Source organism: Homo sapiens (assembly GCF_000001405.40).
Source record: "Homo sapiens chromosome 16 unlocalized genomic scaffold, GRCh38.p14 Primary Assembly HSCHR16_RANDOM_CTG1".
NCBI classification, from domain to species: Eukaryota; Metazoa; Chordata; class Mammalia; order Primates; family Hominidae; genus Homo; species Homo sapiens.
In genome coordinates this window covers 1,703,314-1,716,499 of record NT_187383.1, presented here as the reverse complement: position 1 = coordinate 1,716,499, position 13,186 = coordinate 1,703,314, and the positions used below count along the sequence as shown (strand labels likewise).

The following is a 13,186-nucleotide window of genomic DNA, read 5'->3' as shown; positions in this document are numbered from 1 at the left end:
CAAGGGCTGGGCCCAGGCTGGGACATGCAGGGCAGAGCATGGCCTGTGCAAGGCAGGGCCAGAGCCAGGCCATAGAGATGGGAGGGCAACACCAAGGCAGAGTCAGGGTAGATCCAGGGCTGAGCAGAGTCAGGGCAGGTCCAGAGTCGAGGCAGAGCTAGGGCCCAAGCAGGGCCATGGCAGCACCAGGGCAGAAAAGGGCAGGGCAATGCAGGACTGGGCCATGGCAGTGCCTGGTCAACTCTGGGGCAGGGCCAGAAGCAGGACAGGGCCAGGGCCAATGCTCAGACCAGGGACAGGGCATGACAGGAAGTGCCAGAGCAGGGCTGGGCCAACGTTGGGACAGGGCAAATCAGACCAGGACACCTCCAAGTCCAGCTCTGGCCCTGCCTTGGCCCTGGCCCCTTCCTGACCTGACCTTGTCCCTGGCCCTGCCCTATCCATGCCCTGTGTGTTTGACCAGTGTTTTATAACCAGAATCCTATAAGAAACTTAAATCAGCTCTTTTTGTGCATTTTTAGTAGAGATGGGGTTTCACAATGTTGCCCAGGCTGGTTCCAAACTCCTGAGCTCAAGCCATTTGCCTGCCTTGGCCTCCCAAAGTGCTGGGATTACAGGAGTAATCTGGCCAAGTATTTAACTTCTTTATGCCTGTTTCCTACATTTGGAAAATGGGGATGCTTTAAGTACCTAGCACCTAGAATTATTGTGAGAATCAATGCCTCACATATTTACATATTGATAAAATTGTACTCATAGAACACTACTGGAAGCAAAGATAGTATTAGTTAAAATTTAGTGATTATTTACTGCAAATATTATTACTATTACAAACAACATAGTATAGACATTATTACCACTACTATAGTTATCTTAAAAATCTAAAATAAAAATTTTATGTGATAGCCTAATGTAATCTCTCCTGCTCTGCCCCGGCTCAGCCCTAGTGCCGGCTCTGCCCCTAGTCCTACCACATCACTGGCCCTGACCCTTCCCTGGTCCTGCCGCTGCCCCGGCCCTTCCCATCTTCAGGCCTTACCATGGCCCTACCCTGGTCCTGACCCTGGCCCTACCCCAGAGAAGGGGTATGGCAGAGCCAGGGAAGGGCCGGGGCAAATAAGGGACAGGACACATCCAAATCCAGGAAAGGGCCAGGGCCATGACAGAGCCAGGGCGAGTCCTTGGCAGGGCCAAGTTCCAGGCCAGGGCCAGGAAAGGGTCATGGCAGGGTCACTGTACGGCCAAGGTCCAGGCCAAAGCCAAGGCAGGGGCAGGGGCAGGCCTGCATAAGGGCAGGACCAGAGCCAGTGATACGGCAGGGCCAGGGCTGTGCCAGGACAGAACAAGAGCAGAGCAGGGCAGGACCAGAGCCAGGCCATAGAGAGAGTAGGGCAAATGCCAAGCCAAGGCCAGGGTAGTGCCAGGGCTGAGGCAAGGTCAGGGAAGGTCCAGGGCTGAGTCAAGGCTGGAACCAAGACAGGGGCAAAGGCCGGGGCAGATCTAGGGCACAAGCAGGGCAGGCTAGGGCAGGCCAATGGCAAGACCAGGCCATGGCAGGGCCAGCCCAGGATAGAACAGGGCACAGGCAGGGCGGGGCCGGGGCCACGGCTGGGGCAGGACAAGGACCAGTACTGGGGTCCAGGCCAGGGCAAAGGTATAGCCAGGGCAGAGGTAGGGCCAGAACCAGGGTCTGGGTAGGACCAAGGAGGGTCCATTGCAGGGCCAGGGTTCAGACCAGGGCCAGAACAGGGCTGGGACAGGGCCAGGGCCAGGACCAGGAAAGGGCAATGTCAGGATAAGAGCCATGGCAGGACCAGCAATGGGGCTAGGGCCAGGACAGGGACAGGGTCAGGGCTAGGGCCAGAATAGCATGCCAGGGTAGAGCCAGGCCAAATTAGGGCCAGGACAGGGTCAGGACCAGGGCTGGGACAGGGTATGGCCTTAAGTAGCAAAGGGCCAGGGCCAGGGTCCATGCCAGTGACAGCGCTGGTCCAGGGCAGAGGCAGGGCCATGGCCAGGTCAAGGACAAGGCTGGGGCAGGGCCAAGGTCTGGGTCAGGGTCAGCATGAGACCAGGACAGAGCCAGGAGAGGGACAGGGCCATGGTAGGGCCAGGTTAAATCAGGGACAAGACACCTGCAAATCCAATTCAGGGCCGGGGTCAGGGCAGGGCCAGTTCAGGGCCAGGGCCAAGACAGGGCCAGGGCCGGGGCTGTCAGGGTCATTGGCAGGGCAAGGGCCATGGCAGGAGTAGGGTCAGGAGCAGGGGTCAATGCCAGGCCAATGCCACAGATAGGACCAGGTATGTGCTAGGGCCAAGGCGGGGTCAGGGCAGGGCCAAAGGGAGGGCAGGGCCAGGGCAGGTCTATGGCTGGGGCCGGGGCAGGGCCAGGGCCGGGGCAGGGCCACGACAGTGGCAGCTCCAGGGCAGGGCCAGGGTTAGGACCACGGACATGTCCAAGGCCAGTGCCAGGGCAAGGACAAGGGCAGGGGCAGGGCCAGGGTCATCTAAGAACCAGGGACAAAGCCAGGCCCAGAGCAGGGCCAGGACAGGTACCTGGCAGGGCTAGGGTCTGGGGCAGGGCCATGGCAGGGCCAGGGCCACAACCAGGTCTGCGCTATGGCCAGGTACAACACAGTGCCCAGGTAAGGCTAGGATGAAGGCCAAGGTAGGGCCAGGGCAGGGTCAAAGCCAGGCTAGGGCCAAGGCAGGACCAGGGCCGTCAAGGAAGGGCCAGGAAAGCATAGGGCCAAGGCAGGGCAGGGCCAGGCCAGTGCCAAGACCTGGGCAGGGCCAGGGAACAGCCAGGGGAGGGCCAGGGCCAGGGCCTGGGCAGGACCAGGTTTGGGGCAGGAGCAAAACAAGGGCAAGGACAGTGCAGGATCTTGGCACAGCCAGGGTCCAGGACAGTGTCAGGGCAGGGCCAAGGCAGGGTCTGGGCCATGATAAGACCAGCAACAGGGCTGGGGCTAGGCCAGTGACAGGACCAGAGTCAGGGCAAGGGCCAGAGCAGTGCAAGGCCAGGGTAGGGCCAGGCATTTCAGGGTCAGGGCCAGAGGAGAACCAGGGCAAGGTCTCAAGCAGGGAAGGGCCAGGGCCAGGCCAGGGCCAGGACAGGGCCAGGACAGGTCCAGGGCAGGGCCATGACAGGGCCAGGGGCTGTGTTAGGGCAAGGGCAGGGCCAGAGCAAGGTAAGGGTCAGGGCCAAGGCCAGGGTAGGGACAGGGCAAGAAATATGGCAGGACCAGGGGCAATGCCAAGGCCAAGGCTGGGCCAGGGCTGAGCCAGGGCTGAGTCAGGGCAGGGCAGGGCAGGGCATGGTATGGCCAGTGCAGGACAGGACAAGAGCCGGTCCACAGAGAGAGCAGGACTGATGCCAAGAAAGAGCCAGGCTAGTGCCAAGGCTGAGGCAGTGTCAGAACATGTCCAGGGCAGGGCCGGGCCCAGGGCCAGAACTGAGCCAGGGCACAGCCAAGGCAGGGTACGGCAGGGAAATAGCATGGCCGGGTCAGTACTGGGACAGGGCAGAGCAGGGCAAGGCAATGGTAGGGGCAGGGCAGGGACAGGCCAATGCAGAGCCATGTTACGCCGGGGCCAGGACACCTCCAAGTCCACTTCAGGGCCAGGGCTATGGCAGGACAAAGACCAGGGCCAGGGTCAGGGCCAGGTCTGTGCTAGGGCCAGCTCCAGAGCAGGGCCTAGCGAAGACTAGGGTGAGGGCCAAGGTAAGGCCAGGGCAGGGTCAAAGGCAGAGTAGGGCCAGGGCAGGGTGATGACACATCCAGAGCACAGCAGGGCAGGGTGATGGCCAGACCAGGGGCAGACCACTGCCAGCTCAGGGCCAGGGAAAGGCCAGTGCAGAGCCAGGAGAGGGTCAGGGCCAGGAACAAGGCAGAGCAGGGCCAGGGCCATGGCAGAGTCAGGGCAGGTCCTTGACAGGACCAGGTTCCAGGCCAGGGCCAGGGCAGCAGCAGGGGCAGGGCCTGGATAAGGGCAGGGCCAGGGGTATGGCAGGACCAGGGCTAGGGCCAGGGCCAGGCCGTAGTGAGGGCAGGGCAAAAGTCGAGGCAGGGTCTGGGCAGGTCCAGGGAGTGGCCAGCACCAAGCGGGGCCGAGGTACAACCAGTGCAGGGTAAAGCAGGGCAATGGCACCACTGGGCCATGACAGGGCAAGGTCAGTGCCAGGAGAAGGCAGAAAAGGCAGGCCCATGGTAGGGCCAGGGCAGGGATGGGCCAAAGCAAGACCAGGACATGTCCAAGGCCAGGTCAGGGCCAGAACAGGAGTAGGACCATGACCACTGGCAGGGCCAGTGCCATGACATGACCAGGGTCAGGACAAGGGGTAGGGCCAGAGCCAGGGCCAGAGCCAAGGTCAGGCCAGTGCAGGTTCAGGGCAGGGCCAGTGCCGGTTCAGGGCAGGGCCAGTGCCAGGGCAAGACCAGGGCAGGGACAGGGTAGCACAGGGCCAAGACAGGGTCAGGATGGGACCAGAGCAGGACAGGGCCGAGACAGTCCATGTAACAGTAGGGCAGGTACAGGGCAATGCAGGGCAAAGCCAGGCCCATTGCCAATGCACCAGCCTTCCCTACAAGGCTCCTACCACCTGGCCACTGCTGCAGCCCGTCCATCGCTGTAAGCCTGACCCCCAACCCTGGCTGCAGCCGCCTGCCCTCCTAGCGCGGCCGCTCTCCTACCGCTCTGGCGCACTGCAGTCTCTGTCGCTGCCACCCACCCGCAGTGAGGCAAGTCGTGGTGTCGCAGGCTCTAGGTGTCTCCTCCTCCTCCTGGCATGGAGCAGCTGGGTGGGCAAAGCCAGAAAAGCCTAGAGGAAGATGTGAGGGGTGGAAGGGTTAGAGCCTCAACTTGTCATGCTGGCCACTGGGTGGCAGGGGCCAGTTTCAGCAAAGGCACTCACACCCACCCTCCAAAGTCCAGCCTCTCCTTTTGGTCCAAGCTGGCCAGGAACTGGGGTCTGGGGAGGGTGCTGGAGACACCACAGCACCCAGCTCCCCACTCCACAGGAACCATTGGGCCCACCGGGGCTGCACTCCTCGGGGAGCAGGAGAAGCAGAAAAATTCAGACCCAGCCAGCCCTCTGCACCCAGGTGCCAATTCCTGTTCCAGACGCCTCCACACACAGGGCCCTGTCCCCCGTGGTGTCCCCAGGGGTGCCTGGCAGCCTCTGAGGCACAGACCCAGAGTGCACAGGCCCAGGAACCATGGTGGGTGTGGGGGCTCTGCCGTGCTCAGGATTCCCACGCAAATGCTGCGTGCCTGCCGCATTCCAGTATGACCAAGAGTGGGTCGCCCTCTGGAGTGTGGAGTCAGGGAGAGGAGAACCACTCCTTCCTTGGATGCCAACTCTGCTGACCACTGCCAGCAGTGCAGCCCCTGATAGCACTGAACTCGCCCCCACTCCACGGCTAGTCCTGCCCTCAATAGCGCCCCCCACCTCCATCCCCCAATGCCGCCAGTAGCGTATACCTGATAGTGCCCTAACCTGTCCTCCTCCATGGGCATTGCAGCCCCAGAAAGTGCCCATAACCCACCCTCCCTGCCATGGGAAGTGCAGCCCTGTACAGTGCTACCAACCAGTACCCCTAATGCAGGCAATGACACCCTGGATAGCACCCCCAACCCACCCCACACTGTGAAAGGTGCAGCCCTGGATAGCCCCTGTCCTACCACTCTGGTCGTGCTGCAGTCTCTGTCACCGCCACCACCAACCATAGTGAGGCAAGCCAGTGGGCCACAGGCTCTAGCACTCAGCAGCCAGACATGGAGCAGCTCTCGCCGATGACCAGCTCCCACCACTCTGACCACGCTGCTATCTCCGTGGCCATCTTCTTTGACTACAAAGGAATAAAACTAGATATCAATAAGAAGAGTAATTTTGGAAACAATACAATCACATGGAAGTTAAACACTACCCACCTGAATAAATGACTAGCGGGTCAATGAAGATACTAAGACAGAAATTCAAAAATTTCATGAAACAAAGGGTAACGAAAACACAGTATACCAAAACTTGTTATGCAGAAAGCAGTACAAAGGCAGAGATTTACAGCTATAAGTGCCTACCATCCAAACAAAAGAAAAACTTCAAATAAACAATACATCTTAAATAACTAGTAAAGTAAGAACAAACTAAACCAAAAATAAGAAAAATAAATAAGATCATAGCAGAAATAAAATTGAAAGAAAAAACACACAAGATGAAATGAAAAGTTGGTTTTCTGGAAAGCAAAACAAAATTGACAAACTTTTAACCAGGCTAACTAAGAAAAAAGAGACAAGATTCAAATAAATAAAATCAACAGATTAAAAAAGGCAGACATTACAACTAATACTTCAGAAATTCAAAGGATCATAACTGGCTATTATATGCCAATAAATTGGAAAGCCTAGTAGAAATTGGCAAATTCCTAGATGCATACAACCTACTTAGGTTGAACAATGAAAACATCCAAGACCAGAACAGATTGGTAACAAGTAATGAGATTGAAGCCATCAGAAAAAGTCTCCCAGTAAAGAAAAGCCCAGGAACTGATGTCTTCACTGCTGATGGCTTCACACCAAACAATTTAATGACCTAGTACAAATCCTACTCAAACTATTTTGAAAAACAGGAGGGAATACTTCCAAACTTGTTCTATGAGACCATTATTACTGTGATACCAAAATCAGACAAAGGCATCAAAGAAGGAAACTACAGGCCAGTATCTCGAATATTGATGCAAAAATCCTCAACGAAATACCAGTGAATCAAATTCAGTAAAACATTAAAAAGATAATTCATCATGATCAAGTGGGATGTATCCCTGGGATGCAAGGGTCACTCAACATACAATGTGATACATCATATCAACCAAATAAACGACAAAAACAGTATGATCATGTCAACTGAAACTGAAAAAGCATTTGATGAAATTCAATATCCCTTCATGCTATTAATCCTCAAATAAACGGGTACAGAAGAAACATACCACAACATAATAGAAACTACAGGAAAGACACCCAAAGCTAGAATCATATGGAGAGAGGTCCAGGCTGCAGTGGGCTGTGATCCCACCACTGCACTCCAGCCTGGGCAACAGAGTGAAAGCCTGTCTCAAAAAAAAAAATACATAAAAAGAGGTATGAGCCCCTTTTATAGGTGCAGTGACTCACATCTGTAATGCTAACACTTTCTGGGAGGCTGAGGTGAGAGGATCTCTTGAGGCCAGGAGTTCAAGATCAGCCTGGGCAAAATAGCGAGACCCTTTATCTACAAAAAAATTTTAAATATTTGCCAGGTGTGGTGGCACGTGCCTGTAGTCTCAAACAATTATCACATGACCCGGATAGTGTATTCCTTAGGGATATACCCAAGGGAAATGAAAATATACATCCACACTAAAATTTGTACACAAATGTTCACAGCAGCATTGTGCATAATAGCCAAAAATTGGAAAAAAAACTCAAGTGCCTATCAATAGAGGAACTGATAAAATATGGTATATCCATTCAAAAGATTACTCAGCATTAGAAAAGAGTGAAGTGCTGATATACGCTACAGCATGGATAAACCTTGAAAACACTGTGCCAAGTGAAATAAGTCAATCACAAAAGACCATATGTAGTAAGATTTCATTCTGTGAAACCTCCAGAACAGCTAAACTCAGAGACAGAAAGTAAGCTAGTTATTGCCAGGGACTAGGGGAAAAGGGAATAAGGATGACTGCTAATGGGTATGGGATTTCTTGTGGACTGATGAAAATGGTCTGAAAGTATCTAGATACCTGTCTTGTTTGTGCGATTCTGTGAACATATTATAAACCACAAAATTCTGCACTCAAGGGGTTGATTTCATGGTAGGTGCATTTATCTCATTTATCTTTATCTCAATAAAGCTTTTTAAAGACACTTTAAAAAGACATATCTGTATAAGCTACAAAAATAACACACTGAGACTAAAATGCTTAATTTTTCCATTTTTCTTCTTCAGCACAATCTCAAGTCCAAAAGTCCTTCCTTCCTATATATGCATATTTTGTCCAGTGAAACAAGAAACTCTATTAACTTTTTTATTAGAAATAAAAAAAAGCCATGTGTGCTGGCTCACAGCTGTGCTTCCAGCTATTCAGAAGGCTGAGGAAGAAGGATCACTTGAGGCCAAGACTGGGAGTTCAAGACCAGCTGAGGCAACATAGCTAGATCCTGTCTTTAAAAATATTTTTTAGGCCAGGCACGGGGGCTCACGCCTGTAATCCCAGCACTTTGGGAGGCCAAGGAGGGCAGATCATTTGAGATCAGGAGTTCAAAACCAGCCTGGACAACATGGTGAAACCCCATCTCTTCTAAAAATATAAAAATTAGCCAGGTGTAGTGGTGGGCACCTGTAGTTCCAGCTACTTGGGAGGCTGAGGCAGGAGAATTGCTTGAGCCGGGAGGGTGGAGGCTGCAGTGAGGCCAAGATCATTCCACTGCACTCCACCCTGGGTGACAGAGCAAGACTCTGTCTCAGGAAAAAAAAAAAAAAAAAAAATATATATATATATATATATATATATACATATATATATATACACACACATATACGCATATATGCGTATATGTATATACGCATATATGTGTGTATGTATATATATATTTTTTAGGTTAAAACCCTACTGAAATGAAACTAATAAAATAAAATTCAACTTAATTAAAAAATAGTTCCTGAAATATTAATTTTCAAACAATTCTATTTTAGCTTTGACTCTGAACAAAATATAAACGTCAATTTCAAAATATCACAAAGATTGGCTGGGGGCAGTGGCTCATGCCTGTAATTCCAGCACTTTGGGAGGACGAGGCAGGTGGATCACTAGAGGCCAGGAGTTCCAGAGCAGCCTGGTCAACATAGGGAAACCCAGTCTCTACGAAAAAAATACAACAAAAATTACCCGGGTCTAGTAACCCCAGCTACTCAGGAGGCTGAGGCATTAGAATCGCTGGAATCTGGGAGGTGGAGGTTGCAGTGAGTGGAGATCATGCCACAGCACTCCAACCTGGGCGACAGACTGAGAGTCTGTCTCAAAAAAATAAAAATAAGGCCAGGTGCTGTGGCTCACACCTGTAATCCCAGCACTTTGGGAGGCCAAGGTGGGCAGATCACTTGAGGTCAAGGAGTTTGGGACCAGCCTGGGCAACACAGTGAAACCTCCTCTCTACTAAAAATACATAAATTAGCTGGGCGTGGTGGCACACACTTGTAATGCCAGCTACACCAGAGGCTGAGGCAGGGGAATTGTTTGAATTCGGGAGGTGCAGGTTGTAGTGACCTGAGATTGTGCTACTGCACTCCAGCCTGGACGACAGAGTGAGACTCCATCTCAAAAAAAATAGAAAAAAAAAAGAAAATTTAAATTTAAAATTTAAAAAAGTCACAGAGACTACAAATACTCAGGTTTAAGCAAATTCCCACCTTTCTTGAATTAACAGTAATTCATATTTGCTTTGTCAAAAATGTAGATATTTACCTGCCTCAACGGAATGAAATCCTAAAAGCCTAGTGTTCTCAAATGATGAAGACAAAGAAACATGCATATTTTAATTTAGAATTTTGATTCAGAATTAATTTTAACCTAGCTGGAGTATACATAATCATCTATGTATTTATTTACTTATTTAAGAGACTGGGTTTCGCTGTGTTATCCAGGATGGAATGCAGTGGCACAACCTTGGCTCACTGCAACTTGTACTTCCTGAGCTCAAGCGATCCTCCCACCTCAGTCTCCAGAGTAGCTGGGACTGCAAGTGCACGTTACCACACCCAGCTAATTTTTGCGGAGACGAGCCTCGCTATGTTTCCCACACTGGTCTCTAACTCCTTGGCTCACTACAGCCTCAAGCCCCTGGGCTCAAGCAATCTGCCTCCCAAAGTGCTGAGATTACAGGAGTGAGCCACCACAACCGGCCTAGTCGATAGTGTATACTAAGCAACATATACCCTGCTTTTGCCTAGAACATACTGAAAACATGGCATTAAAAACAATCACAAAAGTTGGGAGCTGAGAAAAATATACTGTAAAACAAATCTGACAGATATTAATCTCAAGAAGCTCCTGAAAATGTCTCAAGAACTCCTATGCTGCACTCTCCCTAATAATTTAGACTTTCTACAGATATTTTCTGATCATCTACCATGTGCCAGGCACCATGCCAGGTACCAAGATGCCATGGTGAGGTATACACAAAACCGGCTCCTGCTTGCGGGAAGCCTACTCTCTCAAACAGTGCTTGCCAAGCTCGACTGATCACAACTTGGGAGCTTGTTTAAGTTCCAAATCGGCTTCCCTGCTTAGGTGAGCCACAATCCGTGGCATTTTTATCAGGTGCTCCCAATGATTCCTACGCTCTAACGGGTTTGGGAGGAAAGGGTGGGGGTAAGCTCGAGAGCCCAGACCCATCCCGTCCAGCGGGGGCCCCACCTCTAAAGTCCATGTCGCTCAGCATCCTTCCCCCTGACTAGTGGCCCAAACACAGCACGAAGCTGAGGTGGGTGGAACGCTTTCCAAAACAGCGCTCTGTGATGAGCCACCGACAGACTTGCTCGCCTCCGGGAACGAAGAGCTCACTCCTCACAAACCCCACCAGGGAAAGGTAGCACCTGAGCCTCCCGGGCTGCGCGGACACCTGTCTCCCCGCGGGTGCCGCCTACTACTCCGGTGGACTCCAGTCCCCAGGTTCCGCCCCACGGGGACTGGGGGGAGGGGGGAGGCGCCGCGCGCATTAGGCGCTGACAGTATACCGACCCCCCCTCCGGTGTGCACAGGCCAACACCCATACACACCCTCACACACCCGCACACACTCCCGTGGAAACTGAGGCAGGCAGGCGGCGGACCAGGTCCCGCCGCCTGACGGCTAGCGGCTGGGATGGAACCCGGACTGCCAGACGCCTTCCGCCTCACAGGCACTCCTCAGCCGCTGAGGCCCGGCCTGGCTCCCACCGCCGGAGTTTCACAAAGAAAGTCTCCCGGCCCGAGCCCCTCACGCACTCACCGGCGCCGACGCCCGCGGCGACTGGGGCTCCCACCTCCTTCAGCTCCTTGCGGGGGTCGGCCCTGGGGTCGGCTTGGGCGCCGGCAGCGGCGACTGCTCCACATCCACCGGGTCCGGGCCGCGTCCGCCTCGAGCTAAGGGTCCCGCCAGCTAGGCGCGCGCGCCAGTTCCGGGCGCCATGTTCCCGCCGTGCTGCTCGCCGCCGAGGCGACCCTCACTGCCCCCCAGCCGCGCGCGCCCCCGCGGGCCCACACACGAACCGCGCACGCGCGCGTTCGCCGCGCCCCCCTCCCTCCCCGCGCGCCCCGCCTCGCCCCTCTGGAGCTGGCCGCTGTTCCCAGTGTCTCGCCCACCCCCGCCGGGCCCGTCCGACTCCGCGGGTGAGCGCGTGGTTCCCGGCTGGGCACCGCCGCCTGCCTCTCTGCAGACCACCCCGGACCCGACCCCTTGGCCACTTCCCCACACTGCCCCTTTCGCTTCCCCCACCACGCGGGGCCTAGGAAGAGGGTCTGGGCCAAGAGGAGCTTCCCTGCAAGAAGTGCCCAGCTAAGGACGCTACTAAGGGGGCGGGATCGCCACCGTGGAGGTGTGCAAGCAGGTGCCTGCGTCCCGGAGACAGCCGACTCAACGGAGAAGCTGAGTTGAAGTCCCACATCTCCACTAACACTTGCGTGTTAGGGTCAGGGCTTCGGAACTTGTTTCTCCTAAATCTTTTTTTTTTTTTTTTTTGAGACAGTCTCGCTCTGTCACCGAGGCTGGAGTGCTGTGGTGCGATCTCGGCTCACTGCAAGCTCCACCTCCCGGGTTCACGCCATTCTCCTGCCTCAGCCTCCCGAGCAGCTGAGACTACAGGTGCCTGCCACCACCTGCTGATTTTTGTATTTTTAGTAGAGGTGGGGTTTCACCGTGTTAGCCAGGATGGTCTCCATCTCCTGACCTCGTGATCCTCCCGCCTTGGCCTCCCAAAGTGCTGAGATTACAGGCGTGAGCCAGCGCGCTCGGCCTGTTTCTCCGAAATCTAAAGACTCAATATCATAATCAAGAGAACGCCTCAGCACCGCGCCTAGCACTTAGTAGGTAGTGATCAAGAGAGAAGATCTCTTAAGTGGTTTTAATGGTTAAGGACCACAGGTTCTCAAGAAAGGGAAATCTCAATTCAAGTCCCGTCTCCATCTCTTGGAAACTGAGAAACCTTGAACAAGTCACTCAGAGGAGCCAAAGATCCTTGATTTCTACATGTGCAAAAGGGGAGTGTGGCAGTAGCACTGCACAGGGTTGACTGAGCTTTCAGGGAGATGATGACTGTACGATCATGCCTCTCTTAATCACGGGATGGTTCTGAGACATGCCTCCTTAGGTGACTGCAGCATTGTGCAAACAGCAAAGTGCATTTACACAAACCTTGTATAGCCTTGTATAGCCTACTAAACACCTAGGCTGTATGGCCTATTGCTCCTAGGCTACACACCTGTACAGCCTGATACTTTACTGAATGTACCATAAGCAGTTGTAACGCAATGTAAGTACTTGTGTACCTGAACATAGAGAAGGTACAATAAGAATAGAGTATAAGAGAATTTAAAATGGTACTCCTGTATAGGGCACTTACCACGAAAGGAGCTTGCAGGACTGGAAGATGCTGTGGATGAGTCAATGAGTGTGAAGGCATAGGACCTTACTGTACACTACTGTAGACTTTATAAACACCATATGCTTAGGCTACACCAAAATTTTTTAAAGCTTTTCTTCAATAAATTCACCTTAGCTTACTGAAATGTATCTTAAAAATTTTGCCAGTCATGGTGTCTCACGCCTGTAATCCCAGCACTTTGGGAGGCCGAGGCAGGCAGATCATTTGAGGTCAGGAGTTCAAGACCATCCTGGCCAACGTGGTGAAACCCTCATCTCTACTAAAAATACAAAACTTAGCCAGGCATGGTGGTGTGCACCTGCAATCCCAGCTACTCAGGAGACTGACGCAGGAGAATCGCTTGAACCTAGGAGGCGGAGGTTGCAGTGAGCCGAGATCGTGCCACTGCACTCCCGCCTGGGCAATTACATGCATGGAGATGTCCTCTCCTGTGATAACAATGCCTTCTTCTTCCAGAATACTTCCTGAAGGACCTGCCTGAGGCTGTTTTATAGTTAATTATTTTTTA

The 13,186-nt window shown here is 53.1% G+C and overlaps 1 long non-coding RNA gene across 1 annotated transcript in view; it reads right to left on the bottom strand.

Annotated features, from left to right (window-relative positions):
* Positions 1-11,682, bottom strand: part of LOC105379547 (paraneoplastic antigen Ma6E-like) — a 31,917-nt gene extending 20,235 nt beyond the window's left edge. The window contains exons 1-5 of the long non-coding RNA XR_005647093.2: positions 11,630-11,682; positions 11,288-11,523; positions 11,028-11,120; positions 5,686-5,852; positions 4,733-4,822 (exon numbers count right to left, since the gene is read on the bottom strand). This is a non-coding gene — a long non-coding RNA (paraneoplastic antigen Ma6E-like). The remainder of the gene's footprint in view (positions 1-4,732; positions 4,823-5,685; positions 5,853-11,027; positions 11,121-11,287; positions 11,524-11,629) is intronic.
* Positions 11,683-13,186: the final 1,504 nt, after the last annotated feature.